This window comes from Homo sapiens, chromosome 9, assembly GCF_000001405.40.
Source record: "Homo sapiens chromosome 9, GRCh38.p14 Primary Assembly".
Classification (NCBI taxonomy): Eukaryota; Metazoa; Chordata; class Mammalia; order Primates; family Hominidae; genus Homo; species Homo sapiens.
In genome coordinates, this window is record NC_000009.12 from 23,698,228 (window position 1) to 23,725,085 (window position 26,858).

At 37.9% G+C, this 26,858-nt stretch overlaps 1 protein-coding gene across 59 annotated transcripts in view; it reads right to left on the reverse strand.

The window, feature by feature from the left end:
• Positions 1-26,858, reverse strand: part of ELAVL2 (ELAV like RNA binding protein 2) — a 160,498-nt gene that overhangs the window by 8,124 nt on the left and 125,516 nt on the right. For all 59 annotated transcript variants that reach the window (XM_047422916.1, NM_001385694.1, NM_001351466.2 and 56 more), the window contains 2 exons: positions 6,691-6,844; positions 3,152-3,377 (listed from right to left, as the gene is read on the reverse strand). In XM_047422916.1, coding sequence (XP_047278872.1) covers positions 3,152-3,377; positions 6,691-6,844 — 380 coding nt within the window. The remainder of the gene's footprint in view (positions 1-3,151; positions 3,378-6,690; positions 6,845-26,858) is intronic.

Consider the following 26,858-nt stretch of genomic DNA (forward strand, 5'->3'; position numbering starts at 1 on the left):
CATGTCCCAAGAATATACTTAAGGGGCTTGAATTACACCATCCATCCAAATAAATAAGGCTTGTCCTATTTTGAAAACTGCAGTCAATTAAATAAGCGTATTAGACCAGCAGTGCTCATATTACAACAATTCTCTGATTATTCATAGATTGACTAAGCCATAAACCTCACAAACCCACCTTTAAACTTAACCCTTATTACATGGATTTTTAAGCTTTTTGACCATAAAAGATATGGCTCATACTTTATGATTATTAAAAGTATTCTTGACCATAATACATATAACTTATATTGCTCAATCTCTCTCAACTCCCAAGGTACTATGAGAACATAAAAATACAGTGAGAAATTTTCTACATGTCTGCTGAAAGGTGACAAAAACTCAAGGCAAGAGCATTAAAACACAAATATCAGGGACAAAATATATCTGTGTGATGATTTAGACTCGAACTACAGAAAACAGCAAAATACCAACAAAACAAGCAAGCCCTTAATTCAAGTTTCTTTATCAGGTGAAAGAAGAAGGGGGAGTGGGGCGGAAATCAAGATAATGACAACCAGGTTCAATATACTGTATTAAAGAAAAGCATCAAACATCAGGTTAAACCTGAAATCTGATTTCTTCCAACACACCCAATCTAGATCAAACACTATCTCTGAGCACACTAACTCGTTCATATTTTATTATCTGGACAGGGATCATGGGAGGAATGAGAAATGGGGTGAATGGGACAACAGTTAAAAATCTGAAGAGAGAATAACAATTTCTCCCATTTTCTGAAACCAAGTTTCCCTTACAACTGACAATCTCTTATTCTCTTCTTCCAAAATGTCTTTCTATAGGAGTGAAGGAAAAAGAATTTTCAAGTTAATGATAACATATGGTACTAAAAGATAAAAACACAGAATGGGCCAGAAAAAGATAATTAAATTTGACCATAAGAACATCCTGTAAAGCTTTACTCAACCAAAAATAAAAAGCACAGAGCCTGCAGGGATGGAGGCTAGGTAAACCTAAGGGCTGACACCCATCAACAACCTAGCACCTGAGTCACCTACAAGCCTTGCCATTTCAATAATCAGGCACTCTCCCAAATCCTGTCTTCTCAATCTTCCTAAGAATTCAATCTTGATTCCAAGAACTTTGTTTTACTTAATAACTATCAAACAAAATCATTGCTTCAATCTGGAAAAAAAAAGTAGCTAATATAGCTTTCCACTAACAGCAAACATTTTATAACTTCACAATGTTAAAAATCAACCAATACATTATGAAGAACTTTGTTCTATCTAAACTCGAGATCATTTTCAAGGCCCCAAAGAGCTCTGAAATTAACTGGACAAGCTGCCTAGGAAATACCTGTAAAATTCCTTCAGGCTTGTTCATCCTACGTTTGCAATTTAAAAAAGTATATTTATACATATATTATTCACTTAAGATGTCACAGAGGAAACCTATGTGCAGAGCTGAAAAAGGGCTTTCTTTGTGAGACTTCTTTCTCCACAAAGGCAAGCATCAGGCAGCCCCACGCATCTCCCACACTAGTCTGATCACCACTACCATGGGAAGTCAAAGGTGGCAAAGGTTTTTTTTTTTTTTTTTTTTTTTTTTTTTTTTTTTTTTTTAATACCAATGCCTTTTCCTCACAGCAGAGCATGAAGTACAAGGCTCAATGCTTTTGACAGTACCACCTCTTCTCCCACGGCAAAGGCCAACTTAAGTTGAAATTTAATGTGGCATTCATAACAAATTTCCTTCTCATATCTCAAGCAACATAATTTAGTATTTTTTTAAAAGGAGCTATTTTTAACTGATTTTATCTCCACTCTCTTCAGCACTGCAAATATTCCAATGAAAAAAATAAATGCATAGATTTAAGCTAGAAAACATAACTCCTGATCTTATTAGGTTATATTTGTGATTATATTTTTGGTAATTAACTATTCTGTCCCATGAATGAAATAAATAAAATTGATATGCACTTGGAAATAATTTTTAAAAATCAGTGTGGGGTTAGATAGCATTCTGGGTATAGTGTACCATATGGCCAAAAAGGATATTTAAAAATGTCCTGGAAAATAAAAACTGCATGACTTGCTTATGAAACCAAAAACTCTCTGCTCTGCTTAACTTCTTAAAGTCACTGTTCTTCTCACATGCAGATTAGAGATTTTTTGAATGACTCCTGGTTTGTTATCCCAGGATCAGAATAAAACTTAAACAGTTAGCATATGTACACCTGTCAGTGAGATAGAGTGTCTTCTTTGGGCTAAAGCCACGGTCATTCTATGAACTACAGAGAGGTCAGTAAATTACAACCGACAGGCCAAATGGAGACTGCCTCCCACCTGTTGCTGTATGGGCTATAAGCTAAGAATGGCTTTTACATTTTTAACAGGTTGTTTAAAAACAAAAACAAGACAGATGCAACAGTGACCATAACCCATAAAGTTAAATATTTACTATCTGGTACTGTACAGAGAAAGTCTGCCAACCTGTTTGTAAACAATTTTGAAAAGGAAGAGAGGAACTCATTTGTAGAAACTTCACGTAGTCACATAGGTTATATACCCTTAATGGTGCACATACTATAAAGTGAAGTAACAGAAACAGCTTGACCTAAAAATTGACACATGAGAATAAAATCCTTTAAGAAAAAAAAAAAAGGAAATCTGAAGCCCTGGAAACAATTCAGATAACCCCAGAAAGCTACAGATTAGAATTTCTCAACCACAGCATTATTGGTGCTTTGGACCAGGTAACTTCTGGTTGCTGGGGCTATGCTGTACACTGTAGGAGCTTAGCAGCATCCCCGACCTCTAGCATTACATGCTAGTAGCACCCCCACAGGTTGTGCCAACATGAATACCTCTAGACATTGCCAAATGTTCCCTGGGAGGCAAAAATCACCCTTGGTTAAGAATCACTGCTGTAGGTTACTGTCCTTTGGTCCCCACCTTCAATATTAGCAAAAGACACTATTCCTCAAGTAGATTCTCTCTGTGCCCATGGAGATGAAAAATTAATAGTAATAAAACCAACAACACTGACAAAAGCAAACCAGAGATCCTGTCAATAAAAGTACTGGACAGTAAACCTGAGTATTCTCTTTCAGTTTAGTAGCTGGGCACAAGAACCAAACCAGACTTACCTAAAACGCTGTGCCTGCTGAGCTAGCGGTCCTGGATACCTTCTGTTTGGAGACTGGTACAGCTGGGAAAGGATGGCCTGATTGGTTTTTTGGCTTGGGTTATTAGCAAACTTTACAGTGATTGGCTCCGTGGCACCGGGAGGTTTCTGGCCATTTAGGCCTTTGATAGCTTCTTCTGCCTCAATTCGCTTGTCAAATCGAATAAACCCTACACCCCTTGATATGCCTATGGTAGATTTGAGTAAAGATTTGGAAAAGAGGGAACAGAAGGAGAAGGGAAGGAGAGAAGAAAGGACACATTAATTTTTCCTTCTCAAGAACATGTTTTCACCTACATATAACATTTCCCACAAAATCACACCAGGAGGAAACTTTCCCCTTTACTTACTAGCCATTCAGTTTAGAATCACAATTTTGCATTTTTAGAAAAATTCGTGTCACTTACATAATCTGAGTACCCATTATCACATGCATTCCAATCAGCTAAGACAAGAAAACACAAGCATGTCCATGTTTTCTCTCTCTCCCACCTCCCTCCCGTACACTCTTTTAATGTCAATAGTGTACCGGAGTTCCATTTTTCAATTTGTGCTATTGGATAAGCAGCTCAGAAATGAGGGACACAGTAGTTCCTGTCCTTGAAACAAGGAGAACAGAAAGAAGAATTTGCTAAAAATGCTACAAAGCTATGCTAAAAATACATACACTGTGGTAGAAAGACATTTCGGTTGAAATTTTAAATAATATATTCAGCTTAATAATATTGCATAGGATATAGGTCCTTTAGGAAAAAAATGCCTGAAAATGCTCTTCCAGTTCTCTGAAGCTCTCTTGTGCTTCTGACTAGCTATATTTTATTACAGAAAAATATTATATGGAGAAAAAGAAAAGACGTAGATTTTAAAAATAAATAAATTTCTAGAAGTAAAGCATCAAAGCTTTCTGACCTCAGCAGCATCACTCCTGACTACAGAAGATCACTCCCTGCCCCACATTCTCCCCAGTGTGAAAGACACAAATGGGAAAGGATAGCCAAGAACCTTTCCAGGTTATGAAAAATTGTAGAGGGAAACCCAGCTTATTCCATTTAATTAGCGTGAACAGGCTAGTGGGGTGACCACAGCTGGTCATCATGAGATAAGCAGTGGCAGGGAAATTTTTTTTGGCAAGTAAATGAGCACTGGACCATCATACTTGGAGGAGCTTAAAAAAAAAAAAAGAAAGAAGGTCTACTTGCTTTAAAATTAATACTGTGTAAGGTCAATGACTAAGAATTTTCTAATGTAGACAAAGCATTTTTTCCACATATGCGTATCTAAGACAGCCCCTATCACTTTACCTTTTCTATTTAAAGAGCATGCATTGCACATTATTACCACCTGATGGCTGAATAAGAAAATTGCAGGGTTTCATTTTTCATTTCAGGTAAATTGAGTAAGTTCACTTTGAAAGCCTTAAGTATGAAGAATAAATAGTGAAATGATAGCAAATCCTTTCACTTATCTACTAGCGCCTATTAAGAATTAATAACCTCTAGAATTTAGCTGTTCCATTAGAAAAGCATCAGATTAGCAAAAAAAAAAAAAAAAAAAAAAAAAAAAAACAGCCTCTACACAGCTAGAGTCACCTAAATCGGTGGTCCTCCTACTTAAGCATACCTAAGAACAACCTGTGGCTCACCCTCAGAGATTTATTCAGTAGGTTCTGAATGAAGCCCAATAATTTGCATTTTTAGCAGGGTTCCAGAAGACTGCTGATACTGCAGGTGCGGGACATACTTGAGAACCGCTGACTAAAACAAGCTAGGTCCACCTGTGATGGACTAGCAGGTAAAAGATGAGACGCACTTTGTGTCATAGGTGAAACCTACTCTCAATTCACAAGATCTCAGAATGAATGAATTAGAAAGCACAAATGAAATAAAAAATATTTTTGTTGCTTTGAACAAATTCATCTTTATTTCTAGGCCTGGATTTCTATTTAACACCATTATTAGTCTATGTGATAACAACACAGGGTGGCAATGTATAAGTATTATGAATTAACTAACACAATTAAGGAGGCTGTATTTTATATACTCTCACTTGACTAAATAGTCTCATGACAGCAAAATCTGTAGGCTATTCTCCCAGGCATGCATGTAGTGCTAGCTCTCTCTACTCAGAACTCTAAAGGTGGTGCTTCCTATGAAGCCAATTAACAACACAGAGGCAGGTAATATGGGCTCCTCTGATTAGATTCAGATCAACTAAATGGATCTTCACTTGATGAATGAAAAATCTGGCTCAATTTTCTTCTGAAGTCACTGCTTTAAAAGAATTAGACATTGTAATATACAACATGCCTCCAAGGTATTATTATTATACGGGTGGCGGGGAGAGAAACAAACAGTGAGGAGAAAAGCTACCTTAAAAAAACAAACAAAAACAACCTCACAAATCTTCATGTGGCTGCTTCAGTCTATGGTACTACAGCTAATATTTCCTCCTCACAATGTTTCTCTATTTTTTAACTGTTTCCTAAAGAACAAGTATTGCTTTCATTTTATTTTTTACTTATTTTTTGAAATGGAGTTTTGCTCTTGTTGCCCATTGCCCAGGCTGGAGTGCAATGGCATGATCTCAGCTCACCGTGACCTCCGCCTCTGGGGTTCAAGTGATTCTCCTGCCTCAGCCTCCTGAGTACCTGGGATTACAGGCATGCGCCATCACACCCAGCTAATTTTGTATTTTTAGTAGAGATGGGGCTTCTCTATGTTGGTCACGCTGGTCTTGAACTCCCAGCCTCAGGTGATCCGCCCTCCTTGGCCTCCCAAAGTGCTTGGATTATAGGCATGAGCCACTGTGCCTGGCCAAGTATTGCTTTTATAATAGAAAATTGTATCTGTATTTTATTTTTAAAATTCATAATCAAATCTATATTGCTATAGCTTTGTTAACTAAGATTTGGCAGAACAACTCCCTTACATTCAAGAGTTTTAATGAACATTTTAGTCTTCCCATTTCAGTTGGGCTAACAGTGATATTAGGAATAAAATAAATTTTTAACATTCAAAATTTCAAACTCTTACATATGCCCATACAGCACAGCATGAACCTGGAAAACAGCCTGAACAGCAATTACCAGTGTGGATGTAGTGTAATCCTCCCTTGGAGAACTAGCTGCATACCGCTGCATTAAACTTCGCTTTTTGACAAAAGAAAGGTTGTTTATTAGTACTCTATAAGCAGGATGGGGGCTTTTATCACACAGTGGCTTGGAAATGAAGATTATAGCATCTATAAATTTATTACAAGCCATGAAACAGGCTTCAATCCTGCACCTTCAGGGTGGAAATGACTCAAGCACGCTCACTATACTCCACAATCTATTTTTATCCATGCATATTTATGAACAATTCCAGCAGAAAATTGCATTTTCTGGCCCACATATACCTTTGATATGTTCTAGAAGCAAGACTGCTACATGGAAAGACAGAATATTTCACAATCTGCTAGTCAGAGACAGGGAAAGACTGTCCGGAGTGGCTGTCTACTTACCAGTGACCTGGTCGACAAGAATACGAGAAGTAATAATGCGTCCATATTGTGAAAAAAGCTGTTCCAACTCCTTCTGGGTCATTGTTTTTGGAAGTCCGCTGACATATAAATTTGCATCTCTGATAGAAGCTGAACTTGGGCGAGCATAGGAAACCTGGAAAAGGAAAATAAAATTAAATGTATATGCATGCTCACTCACCCACCTCCCTTTAGAAACTCAAAAACTGCCTCGGTAACTTTCCCATGAACAGCATAGAACACTGAAGTTCAAGCAAGTCAGGTGCTAACTGCTTTATTCATTTCCAGGAAAATTCTAGACAAATGGGTAGTAGTATTCCCATTCCCTCTCCCCTAGGTGGACAGGGAAGAGTATCTGTAATATGCTGGACTAGCCTACTGCAAGGGACAGAAATTTCACAATATATCCCATCCTCCAGATTATTACTAAAAATGGTCAATGGGTCTGGGATCAATTTGCGGAGGTATAGTGATTCAACAACTGCCTGCTCATTTTATCATTTGTACCCACCTTTAGTCCAGTTTTAATTCACTAAAATTTAAAGTTCTTAAAACAGACCAGTGGTGCATACAGCACAGTACTGTTCACAATAATAGGCTGTCTTCTGTGGGGCCAATCCCCTAGAGCAGTGGTCCCCAACCTTTTTGGTACCAGGGACTGGTTTTGTGGAAGACAATTTTTCCATGGACCATGGTGGGGGATGCATTAGATTCTCATAAAAACTGCACAATCTAGATTCCTTGCATGTGCAGTTCAAAATAGGGTTTGTGCCCTGATGAGAATCTAATGCTGCAGCTAATCGGACAGGAGGTGGAGCTTGGGCAATAATGCTGGCTCACCTGCTGCTCACCTCTGGCTGTGTGCACTGGTTCCTAACAGGCCACGGACTGGTATGGGTCCATGGCCAGGGGTTGGGAACACCTGCTCTAGAATAGGGATTTAGGCCCAATCATTCTAAGCTTAAAGATTCCAAATTCATGGAACATTTTTGTTTTCTAGCCTCTCACATCTGTGTGGGTGGTAGTGCTACATTTCTAAAAAAAAATTCACCCTTATCAGTAAGTATGCTCTTTTGATATATGCTGTATGATTGTCCATAAATTCCCAGAAATTTGAATGTGTGAACAAGCCCTCATTATCCTTTGTCTGTTGTCTTCTCATCCACAGGTCTTTTTAACCTTGATTTTCAAAAGGTCTTAAGTCCCTATAATTAACTTTGCCTGCCACTGTATGTACTTTCAAAAAGTTTCATGTCTTTGAGATACGGTATACCAAATCCCACAAGGACGAAAGACAAAATAGGTCTGCATGTATTTGTTTATAATCATCATTCCTCATGTAAACTCTGTGAGGGAAGAAACCACATCATTCTTGGTCATCACTGTATCCTCAATGCCTAGTGAGTGCCTGACATGTGATAGATGCTAACACATTTGGTGAGTAAAGCCCATCCAATAATACCCCATTGATCATGCAGATCCACAACGGCTTACTGAACCAGAGCATTTAAGGGTCAGTTCAAGTCATCCAGATCTCCTGCCCCAATTGTAATTGATGACTCTCTGCCTATAACCTATCTTTGCCAACATTTAGTCTCATGAGCTATTCCTGATCGCATTCCCTTTGGTTTAGCTGTAATATTCTGGACTAGCCTACTTCAAGGGACAGAAATTTCACAATATACGCCATCCTCAGATTATTACTAAAAATGGTCAATGTGTCTGGGATTGATTTGCTGAGGTAAAGTGATAACTACTGCCTGCTCATTTTATTATTGGTACCCACCTTTAATCCAGTTAACAACAAACTTTCCCAATTTACACTAATACTTAAATAACTTTTAGTATGAAGCACCAAACATTTTCCCCATAATTTGAATTGTGCCCACAGCTCTCTGTTGCCACTTTTTCTTGGCTTTCCAGAAAAAAATATAAGCCACATTTTATACTACTTTATAAAGACCTCGTTATCTTTCACACCCCTGCCCCAATGGTGTTAACATTTAATACTCTTCTTTATTCAAACCGTTTGCTCATTAACAAGTGAAAATATACCTGTTGTTCCAAAGGCTATGTTTGGAAGTTATATTAGCACTGTCCTGTTCTACAGAAGAAACAAGGAATTTGGAATAGTGGTGGAGAAAACATACATAACTATTCATACGCTATTTGTTTTCTCTATGCCTAAATACTTAAGAACAATGAAGACTGGGGAACTTAAATGTAAGTGAAGAACAAGTGGCCAATTTCAAGTGATTAATGTAACTTAGATGGAATCAAATCTTGGGATTGCTATAAACTGATGAAACAAGGCCAATGAATTATATATGCATTCAGTAATATGAATCAATGAAAACTTAATTTCTTTTCTCGTGTAAGATTCTCAATTATCCAGAAAAGGTGAAACCTCACCAGCTGGGACGTGCATCCCTATCTAGGATTCTATGGCTTTTTTTTCCACAGGAGGGAGCACCCAACAAGTCAGCTGTTACTCTGTTCCAGATCATGTGACTGAAGTACTCCCATTATGAACAGCCATGTCCCATGGGCTCCAGGGCAGGCATCTACACATTCTCCAAGGAGGCTAACTTCCAATGACTGATCAAGCAACCAGCAGCAGGTGACAGGCTCTGCATGAGATCAAGTGTCACAGGAGGCAGTGGAAATGTGGTTAAAGGTAACAGCTAATCGGTGTGCCTGGGCTCAAAACTAGGTTTAATTCATAACCAGTTCTGTGAACTTAGAACTAAGTTCTTCAAGCCTATTACCACAATTCTACCTTCTTTATATGGCTATTAGGAATAATTAAATAATTTCTAATCCACATGAAAAGCTTCAGAGCCTAATCTATGTGACATTATAAATATTATTTACCTCTACATGCATCTGAAAATTTAGGTAAATGCCCAGCCCCTTAAAGTAGAGAGAAACCTGGGTCCATTACAGTGTTCTAGAACAATTTACTCATGCAGTGACATTCACTGCTTTGTGCAATTCAGATGAGTGTAGGTGGTGTGTCTTAAAAGTCATCCTAAAATATATTTAGGAAAATGGGTTTATATTTAATGCTTATATAAAGGCTTTGAAAACATACCTAGGTCAGTTATGTGATTTTTTTTTTCCCCAATGTCCACTCTTCAGTTTATATTGTATCTTTAGTTCCCAGCCACATTAAAAAGGCTCCAAGACAAACCTTCTCAAAAACAGTATCTTTCAGTGACATTGTCAAAGAACCATTTTCCACTACCACAGGCAGGACAGGAGTGATTAGATTATATATAAACTTACGTCGGTAACAATGTTTAATGTTAAACTTACATTTAGGGCATTATGAGACTTCACCATTTACAAGGCATTTTCACAAACTACAATATTTTGTCTGTGCCTCACAACAACCCCATGAGGTAGGCAGCATACATATTAGTATTTTATAGCTGGGGAAACAGGCACAGACAAGGTAAATAACATGCCTAAGGTTATACACAACTAGTGTTGAATTCTGGGTTCAAACTCTGATCTTTCTCTTTCTGTGTCCTGGTCTCCTCATCCAGTTTTCCTTCAATAATACTATGGTAAGTGAGTGTTTCAGTTCACTTGTTCTGAGTTGGGAAAAATTAAATGAATCCTGGCTGTTTCTTAAAGGCATACACAGAGAAACTGGCCACAGACAGAAAACAGGATGTTGCTAGAAATTAGTTAAAAGTTATTCCACTTTTTATTATTTTGAGACGGAGTCTCACTCTGTTGCTCAGGCTGGAGTGCAGTGGGTGATCTCGGCTCACTGTAACCTCTGCCTCCCGGGTTCAAGCTATTCTCCTGCCTCAGCCTTCCAAGTAGCTGGGATTACAGGCATGTACCACCACACTGGCTTTTTTTGTATTTTTTAGAGACAGGGTTTCACCATGTTGGTCAGCCTGGTCTCGAATGCCTGACCTCAGGTGATCAGCCCACCTCGGCCTCCCAAAGTGCTGGGATTACAGGCATGAGCCACCACGCCCGGCTCCATTAATATTTTTAAGAGTAATTTTTTCTAAGAAAAGAGAAGTGGCCACTAATTACAATTAACCAAAGAAACTACACATCATCATTAGAATTTTTAAATTAATTTTTGTTACTTTCTAATTCTCAGGAGTAAGCAATGCCATTTTCGTTCACTTTCAGGAAATAAAGGTGTAAGAAAGGGTAATTGCCTTCTCCTTCCTCCCAGACCAAGGCTCAAGGTCCTACCCCTATCCCTTTATTTACTGTTCTTGGAATTAAAACAGCTTCCTTTCCCTTCCACTATCAAGGATATCGCTGTCATCAAAATCCTCCCTTCCTGGAAAACATTTCTTCTTTCATCTAAAAAGATTATAAATAGAAAATGTATTTAGACCTAAGTGGGAAGAAGGCTGATAGTGGGATAAGGACTCACACTCTGGAGATCAGTTACCTAAGGACTCACACTCTGGAGATCAAATCAGTTACCAAACTAAATTTTGTATCTGACCATTACCAGCAACCTTCTCCATTCCGATTTTTTTTTTTTCCTGTGGATTTAGATCTTACAGGTGCCTTCATATGCACCTACAGAATCATACAGGGGCTATTTTCAGAAAGTGTTAAGTATCTTTTTGGTTCTACAAGACTAAACTCCCTTGAAGGCCCAAAAGAGTTCGCTTTAAATGACAAATTCTATTTAGAAATGCTTCAAAACAATGGACTTCCAGCATATGTCCTACTGAGGTCAAAATAGCCTCTTTCTCCACTGCAATCTGTTCTCCATTTTCCATTTGCTGGATTAATATATGAGTTTGGATTTTAAATTTTCACTGCCACTTAAACAGGTGAATATTTAATGCATGAGAAGCAAGGTTATGAAATGTCAAAACTACTAAGTGAAGGATCTAATTTAAGAGGCAGCCAGAGAGTCTGCAATTTAAATATTTAAAGATGATACAGGGAGTACAACACTGAACACCAATCTACTCCAAAGATAGCAATTTAAAACTCAGGTTTATTCTGGAATTTCTCACAAAAGCTACGAGTGATATAATAAACAAAGACAAGCAATACTGAGATTATATGAGGGAAGGGGAGGGACGGGGAGGCAGTAAGTACTTGCTACTACAGGTAAGTAAATGGCCCATGGCTTCTCAAACTGTTCTTCACAAACAAGACTAGACTAGACAAAATAAAGATAGAATATATTTATTGAATTATGTCTTGAAAATGGAACCGTTTGAAATATAGTGTATTACTTGTAATTAAAAGCTCATTTCTTCATCAGCAGCTAAAACTAATGATACATTAAACATACAAAGATGAGTAACACATACACTAAGAGTGGGCTATCAAACACAAGTTGATCAAAATTATACAAAGAAACAAAACCATCTTATGAATTAGTACTTTATTAAATGTACATAGCAATGTTTAAAATCCCAGTGCATCACTATCAGAAGTCCCTCTAAATGCTTTCGTCCAAACACACAACTGCTCTCGTTTCTCTGATTCATCAATGGAAAGATCAGTGACAGTGGACATTAATACCAATAGATTAAAGTGATAAGGTCTATAAATGAACAAAGAAGTTCCCTCTTTTTTAAACTAAAAACATTTGAGAAGTCACCCACTGCTAAGATCACCACTGAACAACTTTTATCACTTGTCAATTACTGACCCAGGACTACAAACATTAAACCTGAAAATTAGACACTTGCCACTTTAGACTTTTTTCAAAAAGCTCCTTTCAATCTCTCCAGCTGAAAGGTCACAGTTATGCCTATTTAAACGGACAGTTAATTGCTGTTCATATTTTTTAAAGATGGAGTCTTCGTGGGACTATCTGAAAAATGACACTATAACTCAATAAAAGTTAGCTCTAGGCTCTAAGTAAGCAGTAGCAAAGGTCTTGTGACAGCATCATGGATATTTGGACAGGTGGCTACATCGGACCTTCCAAAATGAGCTCAGAAGTATAGTACACAGAAGAAGGGGGATCTCTAACCACAACTCAGGCCAGAGACCTCAAAATTCACCCAAAAGGAAGATGTGTACTTTGATCTGCTTCTAAATTCAAACTCCTACCAGGAACAAGTCTCAAACACACATCAAGGCATACATGTATCACAGTCCAATATTAAGTTTTCAATAAGGAAGGGCATATTTCACAATGGGTTGAAAATGAATAAGCCTAAGATAACAATAAGAAATTAAGTATTAGCTCCAGCAAAGTTAGAGCTAAAAGAAATAATCACATCCAAACAGGAAATTTTATAAAAGGTATTAAAGGTTAGGGCAGTTATCTTTAACGGATATTCCAAAATATAGGATTTAGAAAACTATCAGTGGAAAATACACACAGAACCTTAAATTTTATCGTGACTGGATTTGTTGAATGTTTTAAGACTAAACAATTGCTTTAATTCAAGTGAGAAGTTCAGAGATACCACGGAATATATTTGATAATGTCATCCTCAACTTAAATTACCTAAAGGGCTCCCTAAGACTTTCAGATAAATTTTAGAATTCTTATTCCTTTATGGTCAGAGCACTGGCTACCTCTTCCATACAAGTATACAAAACCTTCGGTAGTATTCCAAGCTTCCTGCTCTCACTTCTCTGTGTTAAAAATAAGCTGCCCTCCTTCCAATCAGCTAAATTTCAGTCATTTCAGACACCTCATGGGTATCACCTAGTCCCTAAAGTCAACACTAATCAGTCCTCTCCACTACAGTCTGAGTTGGGTGCCTCTTACCTGCACCCACACTGCATTATATGCCTTGTTTTCTTAAATACTGACTTAACCAAAATGTACTTATCTCTTAACCCTTTCTTGTGACTGACTTAACCCCTTGAAATAAGAAACCTTGTCATCATCCTACTTTGTACATCCTGGTAACTACCACACACTCACTGTAATGAAGATGATTTATAATCACATATTAAATTGAGAGTTTATTTCTGAAATACTGTTTAAAAGCTAACAGAAGCCACAATCTTTGTCATATACCCAACATTATACGCATTGGTACTTTGTGTACAGACTACAATGAAAATTCTATTAATCATTTCAAAAATGAAATTTCATTTCTCAAATTGGGGATTCAAGTCCCCAGAGGCGACACAATCTTCAACAAAGTAATATGGTGCTGATAGGAGGCTGTGGGGCGGGGGGAGTCTTAATTTTGGAGCAAAAAGAAAATACAGTGATCATTTAGTCCAATTTCTTTGTATCTGGGAAATAGGAAGACTGAGGCACAGAAAGGTGAAGCAACTTTTCCAAAGACACAAAGAAAAAGAGTTGGGTGTAGGACTCGCGGTCTTAGCTCTTCATCACGGGATTTTCCATTACATCATTAGCTGCAACACAGTCTTCAAAATCATAAAATCTTCCTGTGAAATGACAGTGACTGGGACAATAATCAGACATTTCCAAGGAGACATCAGAAGAGCTATTCCTAGAAAATAAGAACCTTAGCTTTGCTACATAGAATATTTTCTTGTATACACATAAGGAAATAATAAAACACATCAAAAAAACTGTCTTAGGACAGTTATTATAATTCTTCTACTAGTAATGCCTGAGAATTATTTAGGAGATGTTGGAGAAAAAAATCTAATTATTTGGGAGTTGAAGAGAAAAATCAAACTAAGAATCCTGAGACTAGTACTTTCCACCAATTAAAACGTACCAACCTACAATAGCTAGAATCTTTTTGATAGTGTCTCTCCCTTTTATAAGATTACAAACCAATTAACAGGAAAACAGAATGGCAACTGGCTGTTTACACTAGGGGAGATTCTCATTTTCATAGAATTTTCAAGTTTTAGTGCAACATCATTAAATATTAGTCAAGGCAGTTGATCTTAGCTTCAACTTAAAGGCGACCTAGGAATAAATAAGTAATGTCATAAAAATAAGTGATCCTATGACATTGTTAAAGACAATAATAAATCTACTGAATAGCCACAGAAAAATAAAAAGTGTTTTGGCTGTAAGAACTGTATATCAAGCAACTGATCATCAACTACAGACTTCACAAATTAGACCACCTTTTTCACACATCTTAAACAGCCTCTGACAAACTACACTGCACTGAGTGTGGTTTATTAAATGCTACCCAAACAGTTGCATCCATGTGTATCAAAGAGGGTCTAAATAGGCTGCCCTGACAGGCATCTCGTTTTTAGTAAAGTACAACTGGTACATAACTTCTGCCCTTTTATTGTTGTTTCTCCTTGGTTCTAGTATGAAGTTGGTTCAACAAGGACATCTCATACTGGTAAAGGCAAATGGGATACATGGTAAAGATATTCTTGAAATGCAACTTAGGCCATAAATACCTTACCATTTCTTAAATTTTTTACCTGCAGAGATACTTAACAGAAAATAAAACAATTGAGCAATGGTAGTGGATATGGCATCTGAGGTGGAGGCAGTGAAATCAAATTCACTATGGTAGTGGCAGTAGGCTAGCCATTCCAAGTCTAAGCAGGAACTTGTCAATCAAAATGTTCCATGTTCCATTTCCAATCCTGTATATTTCACTTAGCCTTTTCAGACTTTAGAAGGTGATTACACTAAAGTAGTATAAAAAATAGATGGGAGTTTTAGCGTAACCACCAAAGAGTCTATTCCTACCGGTAGCTCTCTGCATTAGAAAATTGTCAGTAGTGGTTAAGAATGCTAACTCCCTTACTTTTAACTTCAGAAATGAGCCTGCATTTATTTAGCCACATAATATTTATAAATACTAAGTAATGTGAATAGGCTGCAACTGAGGCAAGCACGTGTTAGCTTAGCACCAGGTTCAAAAATATATTATACAAAGCAGAAGAGAATACACTGTAACTGGTAAAGTTCTGGCCACTACACAGCATACTATGAAACTAGAGGTTAGGATGGAATGTTTGGACCAGAACCCTCCCATGTTAAGGAGTAAAAACATATGGTATGGAGTCACACAGAGCTAGGTCCAGGTCTTGGCTCTGTTACTTACCAGTTAATCATTTCCTTAGGTCTTCTATCTCTTTATTTGTAATTTGATGTTAATCACAGTACTTACCTCATGGAAACCTTACAAGTATTAAATGCAACAATAAAACTATTAGCAAAGAGCAGAGGAACCATAAATGTTTTAATCATAACATCATTTTATATACATACATAGGAAACAATTCAGATAATGATAGCTCCTAACACTTATTGTTTACCATGTGCCAGACACTGTTCTGGATATGTAACATATGTTAATTCAATTGCTCCTCCCAATAAGTTTATGCAGCATCATCATCCCCAATTTATGGAACAAAAACTCAAGGAATACTATTATCTTTGAGGTCAGGAAAGATGACACAGAGGAGGAGACGTGGCACAAGAACAATGTATGCACTCTAACACAGAAACAGTTCAAAAATCACATATATAAATGAGGCTTCTTCCAAATCCATGGTGATAATTATTAAAGTTAATTCCTGAATATTCCAAATATTTTGTAAGATGACAGCAGATGAGTGTGCTGGGAAGCCTGCAGCCTGGATGGAGGGAACATAAGGAAGGAGCTGTCTTACTGACATACAGAGAGCAAACATTCAACATCTATAAATGGGCCAACAGTTAAGGCCCCAAAATTTTATTTCTCCCATCAAGCTGTTACATATTAAACCTCTCACTACCTCAATTCTCTTTTGTAGAGACCTGTTGAACCTAAGCCAGTAAAACGTAAAATGAGCGATTCTTTTGGATAGACAGTAGTAGAAATATAAATGAACTTCATGGAATAACTTCTATCTTGAGATGAAGGTTATGGGTATGTTTCTGCATGTGAAATGTGTTACAAGCTACCATGCAATCGGCCACCTGATGATTCAATATGATTTCCCAGTTAAAAAAAAAATACTGAAGAGGCTACACTCTCAAGTACCACTATAAAACTTTCACTTTAGACATTTTCATTAAATATACTATGAATACATTCGAGAGACTAAAAGAAAAATCTCAGTACTCACTAGTCAGTACTCAGTATTTTGAGCCTTCTTAAATACGGCCAGAGAACTAGACTGCCTCAAAGCTTCCTCCCAAGTTAACAGTATTACCATTCAAAGCTTTTATATTACTATGTTTTATACTTCTAGAGGGAGGGTTGAAACTAAGTCTTATATGATGCCTATCTCACATAGTCCCACCCACCAAGTAGGGACTCTACTACCTGTTGAACGTATACATTCCATGGCCTTGTGCAGGAGGTTTTTCTTTTTTGAGGCAGAGTCTCACTCTGGAGTGCAGTGGCACGATCTCAGCTCACTGCAAGCTCCACCTCCCGGGTTCACACCATTCTCCTGCCTCAGCCTCCCGAGTAGCTGGGAACACAGGCGCCCGCCACCACGCCCGGCTAATTTTGTTGTATTTTTGTAGAGACGGGGTTTCACAGTGTTAGCCAGAATGGTCTTGATCTCCTGACCTCGTGAGCCGCCCGTCTCGGCCTCCCAAAGCGCTGGGATTACAGGCGTGAGCCACCACGCCCAGCTAGGAGGTTGTTCTGAAGTACCTCTCAAGCAAGATGATTAGAAGTTGTGGCATTTGCCCAAATAACTTGGCTTTTGCTGCTTCACTGAAAACAACGCAGGCTAAATTGGCTTGCAGAAAATCAGATATATTCATTCAATTGTTAGAAGCCCATTCTCCAGCAATGGCTTCAGTATTCTTTCAAGATTCTGAAACTTGACCCAATGACATCTCGAACAGATGCCAATACTATCAAGATAACCATGGCAACTTTATCTCCAAAAATGTACTTAAGATATAATTTGTGTAGTATCTGAATGTCTAGTATGCCTAAGACACTGTCAACAGATTAAAATGCTGAGTTAGAATGTTAAACTAAAGAAGGACTACACACTGGCTGGCATAAATAAACTGCAGGTGTCTTAGAATAAAAAACAACCAGTACCGGTTGGTAATGTGAAAAAAGAAAAAAGGTTCTCATCAAGCCAATTTTGGTGAATTAAACATCCTAGGACTTTCATACACTTCTTCATCCATGATCTGACAGAGAGAAGTACATGAAAAGGAGAAGTGGATAAGACAAGAGACGGGTAGGTGGACATTATGTAGAAAATCTCACATAACGGGATACCTTTACTTAAATCTTTGTTTTTCACCACATGTTCTCACTCATAGGTGGGAAGTGAACAATGAGAACACTTGGACACAGGGTGGGGAACATCACACACCGGGGCCTGTTGTCGGGTTGGGGGAGGGGGGAGGGATAGCATTAGGAGATATACCTAATGTAAATGATGAGTTAATGGGTGCAGCACACCAACATGGCACATGTATACATATATAACAAACCTGCACGTTGTGCACATGTACCCTAGAACTTAAAGTATAATTTTAAAAATATGTATATATAAAAAAACTTTGTTTTTGTATGAAACAAAAAAGCTGTTAAGTCCTTTACATATCCTTCATCCGACCACATCTTCAATGTATAGTGACACCTACCAACAAGTTTTGAAAAACACACCCAAAGTTAAAAATGGCATTAAAACAAAAACAAAACAAAACGAAAAACCTCCAAGAATCTCAACTTTTAATTTCACTTAAACTGTGACTTTTTTCGTCTTTGAGCACACAGAGCAGGTCTTCACTGTCTCTTATAAGCAATAGACAGAAGCTTCCTCATGCAGAGGTTATAAATAAAAACATTCTGCAAGCTGCTCTCCAAAGACAAAAATCCCGTTGCCCTCAGAGAGCAGACCACCAAATAGATGAGAAAGGAAATGTATAGTTAAGAAATTTTTATCCACTTTATTAATTTATTTTATGGCCAAATAAAACTTTATCAATGACAGGGTTAGAGGGCCATGTAGGCAGAGAATAATCCAAGGCAATGGAGAATTAGGCTTCCATACTGAATGATGAAGAGCCCAGCTGAGCCAGAATAAAGATTTCTGTAGGACACTGACAACACTAGAACAGTGAGTTGAGGGCAGAGTCTAGAGACCTTGAATGTCAGGGCAAAACTTTTATGAGCAGAGGAATGACAATCTAAATGTTGGTAAGTATTATCAGACAGAAATGTATGGAAGGAGAATACAGAGACAGTTTCCCATCATAACGCAGGTGAGGAGAACAGTCAAAATCAGTGTGGTAGTAAAGTTAAATGTAAATGCCATCTACAGTTAAGTTTCCCTTTGTACTATAACTAGAAGAAAAACTGCTTTGCAACAATGTTCAGAAACCCAAGTCTTCTTTGACCTACTTCATATAGTAATGAAAATATAATGATCCTTTCCTCTGTGTGTACACTAAATACTGCTTAGAGAAACTTCATCTTGATACCATTTGTAAATACTTAAATGAGTCCCATGGGTCTCCACGGATCTTTGCAGAGCAAGGCAAATATGTTTCTACGAGCAAATTACTTGATCCACCCAAAATTCATTCCTATTGTTTCTCTTATAAATTAGGTCCTCACTAAAGGGGGATAAATGTAAAGTACAGGGCTAGGTTTAATCAAATTTTCCTGCCAATCATTTTTGTAGAAGGTTATTACTTGATAGAATAAGTATACTTTATGGTGTTCAGATGTAAGCTTCTCCTAAAAGGTACACATCACGTGAAGGCCTCTGTGCTTTTGAATGAGACATTCCCTTATGTGTAATACATTTCTTCTTTTTCCGCCCAATAAAACCTAGCTTGTAAAACACCATCAACTCTGAAATCAACACAGAGGCCTCTAGACAGCAAGTGGCATATCCATTTTCATTGTATTCTGCACTTACTCATCATATATCCAAATAATGGTCATATAAACTAAGTGCTGTCTCCCTTACTACACAATGACATCAAGGACAAGGCTACCTCTTGTCTTATTTTAATGCTGTTCAAACATTTAGCAAAGCTAACTAGCCCACATTAAGCACTCAAAATGTTTATAAAATATTTAATTACAGATACTCCCTGTCCAACACTGTATAGCCAAGATTACATGGTCTCAGTAAAACAAAAAAACAACTTGCAATTAAATACTTCTCAAAAACTTTTACATTTGCTTATCCTGGCCCTTTGTTTTGTGGGCAAGGTGAGCACCATGCACATCTTTTAAAGCTACTGACCTTTCCTACAAACTTGGAGACAGGCCTATTAGTCTTGTTATGGTTCCATATAATATAATAAAGCCCTAAGGGGTGGGAAGTCTTGAACATAAAGTAACTACTTCTACTAAATCTTTAACGTATTTTAAAAATAGGATTCCTCAAACACCCAGAGAAAAATTCCTAACAAATAATCTTCCTCTTAAAGGATGTTTTATGTCAACAATCCCCATTTAAACACCTGTTTTAAATTTAAAACACAATCTGCAAGCCCTATCTACATTACAAGTAAACCATACGCTATCCAAGATTTAGTGTTTTGGGCCCTGATTTGACACAATTATCAGGGATCTAATGTATGTATACAGGTATACATACACAAAGAAGTTAGGAAGCCAGCTCACTTTCTTTCAAGGGCAGCCTGTCTTTGGTAATCCTCAATCAGTAGAAACTGTACCAGTTTTTTAAAAATTTAAAAAGCAGTAACAGCAAACACTGCAGATTGCTTATGGCATTTAACAGGCAGAGATGGAAATTTGTGTAAGGCACGTATGATAAAGGAGAAAGCAAGGAAAAAGAATAACAGAAATGTTATTAAAAGCCCTCCCCACAGAGCCAAAGGAAGTTTTACCTACACATATTTTGTGGGGCTGACATAAGTTATGCAACTATGAAAAATTTATTCAATACATAAGGGGATAACCCCTGAAACATTAGTGAGTGTTGTTTTATGACTTTAAGTCTACCAAGATATTTCTCTCACAACATGATTAGACATTAGAGAATAACCATAGGGAAAGCTTTTTTTAAATGAACTGATTTGCAAGACTAATAGTCTCATTCAAAGACAATCCTTCATTCTCCAAGTATCTATTAGACACCTGAGCTGTATATTCCCCCTAACAGCTTTAACAAAAAATAATTACTGTATTCCCAAAACCCTTTGTGTGACAGTTGTGAAGATTTTAAAAGAAAGAGTTTTTAAGGAAAACATGGACAACCTTCACTGTACGCAATAAAGAGACCATATCATTGCCATCTATGCAACACCTGCAGAAATTTAAAGAGGGGCAGCGAGGAGGGGAACTACCACCTTTATCTTTGTTCTAAGACAAAGTGTTCTCCTGCTTCAGATCTCCAGAAGCACCTTGAGAATCCCGTCCTGAGATATTTAATTACACTGAATGATTTGGTACCAGGCCCTTTCCCTGGGTCTTGCTGACTGATAGCATCAATAACACTCACTGGCTGTAATTAAACCGCCAAATAGTATCCCCTTTGCCACTTGGCAGATAAATGTTCTTTAATACTCCAAAGAACAAAGTACAAAGGTGAGAGGGGTGTTTTTACCCCTCACCTTCACAGTTCATCTGACTTTGTGCACCAGGATATACATATACTGTAGACAATGCATATTTTACAATTCCCCTCAGACATTGCTTAATGAAGAACATGAAGAAAAATCCTTGGTTTCTTATTAATTCATTTTTGCAACTCTGAGCAGGGGGAAAACACTGTAAGCCTTTTGGCAAGAGTATGCACTGCTTTCACATAGCTTTGGGGCAACATTTGGTTTACAGGTCAAAAGGGTTTCTAAATTAAGTTTGCATATAGCAAAAAATTTTTTCCTTTAAAAAATTATAGCATAAAATGTGTGGAAGCTCTTATAATAGAGCAAATTCCCATTTATTGAGGCCCTGGCTAGAAAGCTCAAATATCAAGACACTGGGTAGGGAAGGAAGAGGGGTTTGGTTGGCAGGCTATAAAAATAAGACAAATTTTTATTAAATTTTAAAAGCCACTTTTTTTTTTTTTTTTTTGAGATGGGAGTTTTGCTCTTGTTGCTCAGGTTGGAGTATAATGGTGTGATCTCAGCTTACTGCAACTTCCGCCTCCCGGGTTCAAGGGATTCTCCTGCCTCAGCCTCCCCAGTAGCTGGGTTTACAGGCACCTGCTACCAAACCCAGCTAATTTTTTGTATTTTAAGTAGAGACGTGGTTTCACTACATTGTCCACGCTGATCTCAAACTCCGGACCTCAGGTGATCCACCCGCCTCAGCCTCCCAAAGTGCTGGGATTACAGGCGTGAGCCACCGCGCCTGGCTCAAAAGCCACTTTCAAAACTTAACTCCCAATCTCTATAAGACACCCTTTCACCTTTTTTTTTTGAGACAGAATCTCCCTCTATCCACCCAGGCTAGGGTGCAGTGGTGTAATCTCGGCTCACAGCAACCTCCGCCTCCCAAGTTCAAGTAATTCTCCCTGCCTCAGCCTCCGGAGTAGCTGGGATCACAGGCACCCGCCACCATGTTCGGCTAATTTTTGTACTTTTTAGTAGAGATGGGGTTTCGTCATGTTGGCGGCCAAGCTGATCCTGAACTTCTGACTGCCCACCTCAGCCTCCCAAAGTGCTGGGATTACAGGTATGAACCACTGTGCCTGGCCAAGACACCCATTTTAAATGGATAGGCCCTAAAGAACCATACTGAAAATTCTCCAAATACCCTCAGAAGCAAATAAATTATGCTAGCATAATTGTAATGTTGAAGTATTTAATGACACACAAATGCCCTGAAAATGAGCAAATTGTGTGTGAGAACGTGCATTATTTCTTAGGTAAATCCAGCACTATATTCATTAAAAACACATTAGTGAATCCCAGCCATTCAACATATCTTGATGTAACCGACAAATGAAAATCCTATTTTTTACAAGTAGACTTGTTTTAAAATAAGCACCACAGACCTACCCAAGTGCAAATCATTAAGATCCACTGAACAGTGTTTCTCAGGTCAGGCCACCATCTGCTTAAGAATCACCTGTGGTGGCTGTTGAAATACAATTTCCTCAGTCTCTCTCTGCAGATAATCAGATTCAGTAAGTCCTGGTTGGGGTGTAGAAATCTGCATTTTTAATCAACCACCCCACCCCACTGATCCTGATAAACATTAAAGTGTTGGCAGTCTCTTGTGTAAAGGCATTTGAAATAATCCTCAAAACTCTGGGCATATTAGGGTTTCCTAGATAGCTCATAACAACCACGGATGCCAAGCCCTTTTCCTTGCCATCCACTGATCGTTAGTTTCTAAATAAGACAAATGCCAGGTAGCTTGAAAGCAAAGCATTTAGGAATATAAATCACCTGCAAATGCAAAAATGCAGACGTAAAATAAAGCCCATGAAACTCATCCAAAGATATTTCCAAGAACCCAGACTGGCTGGATGTGGCTCAACTGGGTTAGCCTCTTCAAAAAGGCCACTGTGCTTGATTCTATGAAGTTAGGAGCTTCTCTCAATGACTCTTTCTAGGAATATGAATATGGTTATTTGGTTAAGGCAAGCACAAATTTCTAGATAGACATTTAACAACCAAAACTAGAAACTGAAACTTTTTCTGAATTATTAGTTTCCAGGACTACATGCTTGTTCTATTTTTCCTTGCCCTTCCTGCAGCTCACCTGATCAAGAAACCAAGAACAGAACACAAATCCAAGACTTACACCTCCAAGTCCTATTGCAGCATTCAAAAGAGTTCTTCACAGAAGGAAGGGAGAGGAGGCAGGCAAGTATCAGATTTCCTGTACTGTTTTCAAAATACAGATGACCCTGGAACAATATGGGTTTGAACTGTGTGGGTGCACTTAATATGGGATTTTAGACCAACCCCTCCCTCTTCCTCTGCCTACTCAACATAAACATGACAAGGGGGAAGGATCCTTATGATGATCCACTTCCACTTAATGAACAGTAAATATATTTTGTCTACCTTATGATTCTCTTAACCTTTTCTTTTCTCTAGCTTACTTTATATTGTAATAACACATAATATGTAATACATGAAACATACAAAATATGTGATAACTGTTTATGTTATCAGTAAGGCTTCTAGTCAACAGTAGGCTACTAGTAGTTAGGTTTTTGAGGAGTCAAAAGTTAGACTTTTTGCTATATGGGGGCTGCTACCCATAGCCCCCGAATTGTTCAAGTGTCAACTGTACAGCTCTGTCTCATTGCCCAAAAGCAGCATGTCAAGACACTTCTGGAAATAAAACATCCACAAGTAATTCTAATGTAGTACATGCGGGTGAGAACACACACTAAAAGTAATGATAGGAATGGCTGGCAGAAGTGAAAATAAAAGAAAATGCACCATCCATGCTTTTTTAAAGAGTCTACGCAAATTTAAAGAGAGACCAATGTTAACACACATTTCTGTAACCTTTAAACTAGCATCTACGACTTACATGAACCTACCAGAAAAACATTGTCGAAGAATGCGTAGCTGCCTAAAAAATAATTTCAGGAAGTTACTACTATAATAATAATTTTACTGTTCATTACAACTGAAATAACTGAATCAATGTTAACTCACTTATCTGCTAAGTATGACCTCCAGATCCAGTTTTCTTCTCAAACTGTACGTCTGGCTGTCTCAAGTGCTCACTCTGCAAGAGGGCAGAGTTCTTCACTCCTAGGCAAAGACAGCTCCACTCTCTGGCACCTAAGAGATCTGGTCCAGAAAGTCTCAAGACAAAGACACTCAAAGGCCCAAATTAAGGCCTCTCTCAGTTGGTTTATTTAGAGTGGTATCTGAGCAAAACAGTTTAACATCAATAATGTGAAATGGAAAGAAAACAACAAAAGCTACGGCATCAGCCAACATGATACTACATTTCTGATGCTTATTAGCTATTTCATTTTGAACAAATCCCTTTTAACCTGAGCTTTATTTCATCAAAGGGATTAAGTATTTGCCTACCAGAGACTACTGCTGTTTCTGCACGAATTCAAAACAGTAAAAAGATAATAGTCCTATGAAATTTGTTTCAAAAGTAGATACAGCAAAGAATTAAGGGCTCCTTCTTGGGAAGTTAACACAATCATCTTAACTTCACAAGCCAGGTATGTGGTAGAACAGACTGAAGCCAAACTGACCTAGCACCACTTTTCCCAGGTGATAAATGAAAGAAAAGCCCTACCCCACATTCCCCTTAAAAAGCAGTGGGAAAGTAAAGCAACAAGGGCTAGCAGTGTGATGTTCAGGTAGAAAAGATTTTTGTTTTCTTCTTGTAAATTTGTTTGAGTTCATTGTAGATTCTGGTATGTTTATTGCGGCACTATTCACAATAGCAAAGACTTGGAACCAACCCAAATGTCCAACAATGATAGACTGGATTAAGAAAATGTGGCACATATACACCATGGAATACTATGCAGCCATAAAAAATGATGAGTTCATGTCCTTTGTAGGGACATGGATGAAATTGGAAATCATCATTCTCAGTAAACTATCACAAGGACAAAAAACCAAACACCGCATGTTCTCACTCATAGGTGGGAACTGAACAATGAGAACACACGGACACAGGAAGGGGAACAACACACCCTGGGGACTGTTGTGGGGACGGGGGAGGGATAGCATTAGGAGATATACCTAATGCTGAATGACCAGTTAATGGGTGCAGCACACCAGCATGGCACATGTATACATATGTAACTGACCTGCACATTGTGCACATGTACCCTAAAACTTAAAGCATAATAATAATTTAAAAAAAAAAAAGAAAAGATTTTTGGCCATCCAGATCAGTTTCAATTTATCTTATCTCACTGTTATCTTAGAAATCAAACTCAAACACATTTGAACATGTGGTTCAACTATTTTCAGTGTCTTCTATCATGATGCACATGGTTTGCTTGAATCTCTTCCTCAGCCTCCTTATTATTCGGAAACCAATTTTGCACTTAACATTCTAGACCTGTGAGCTGTTATAAGGGTTCTGCCTCAATGACTCAAATTTCTGATAAACAGTAAGTTTCAGTGACATCCCCACCACATGCCCCTTTCAATTCCACACGTGCACACACACACAGACAGCAACAATTTCCTAAACCTATACAAGTTATTACTTCTGTGGCTTTCCCCCTACCTTACACAGAAGCAATACTCACAAGGAGGCAGTTACTCTTTTAATTCCAATGGAGGTCTTCATAAAACCTGACATTCTCCATGCTGGTTACAGAAATGAAATAGCCAGGCTTTTCTGGTATAGACCATACTTTGCATAAGTTTAAGCATCTGCCATGAGGGGCTATGATACCCCTGTGGAGCATGCTTAGGTAACAAAATGATCCATCAATTCCAATAAAGATGGGTTCAGTCAACTGTTGAGACTCTTCTACCATCACTATCCACTGTGTGGCTGACAGGCAGGAAGTAAGCAGGGGACACTGCCACCAAGAACCCTGTTCCTCATCCTTCCCTCTTTGTAGGCTCTGCCTCTGCTCCAACAACTGTGGGAAAATCTAAAGGAAATCCATTGGAAGAATGCCTAGTTATTGCCCTTTGAGAATTCCAATTAACTCTCACTTTGGAGTTGGCTAAAAGGAACAGAAGTAACACAAGAGGCCTGAGGACAGGACATTCAAGCTCTGGACCTTACTTGGGCTACCTACCCACATTCCCTAGACCACATTAGATGAGTAAGAAATTTCTGGGCTTTTTGTATGAAAAAAATTAAAGCTGACAAGAGAGCATTCTACAAAACACATGAAGGGCATTATACAAATAACAATAAAAAAGTCATCTGTGACTTCTCACTTCAAATAAGGACTATGTAAATGGGACTCAATATAGATAGAAGCATTTTATTTAAATGTATTGAAGAGGTGCTGATAATCAGATGTAATATACTGTTAAAACTTGACATGTGGCTGTGGAAATTTCCAGAATACAAGTTAACAATGAAGTTAGGAAAACATGTACTCGGTCAGTCTGTATTTTTTAAAAGGCAGAGGAACAATTTACTCAACGTTTCAATTTTTACCCCACTCCTGGCATATACTTTTTCAATTTTTTTTTTGTCTGGATAAATAACAGTTATTAGGCTAACATCTCATAAGTAGGTCAGTTAATTTGAGGCCTGTTCTTCCAACTATTACTTCTAAATTTTCCAAATCTGCTCAAGGTAAAGGTTTTTAAATGAGGGGTACTTTGTAGACGATGATTTATAAATTTCTACCCTTTGTACCATCACAGGAAATAACAAACTACACAAGCCAGA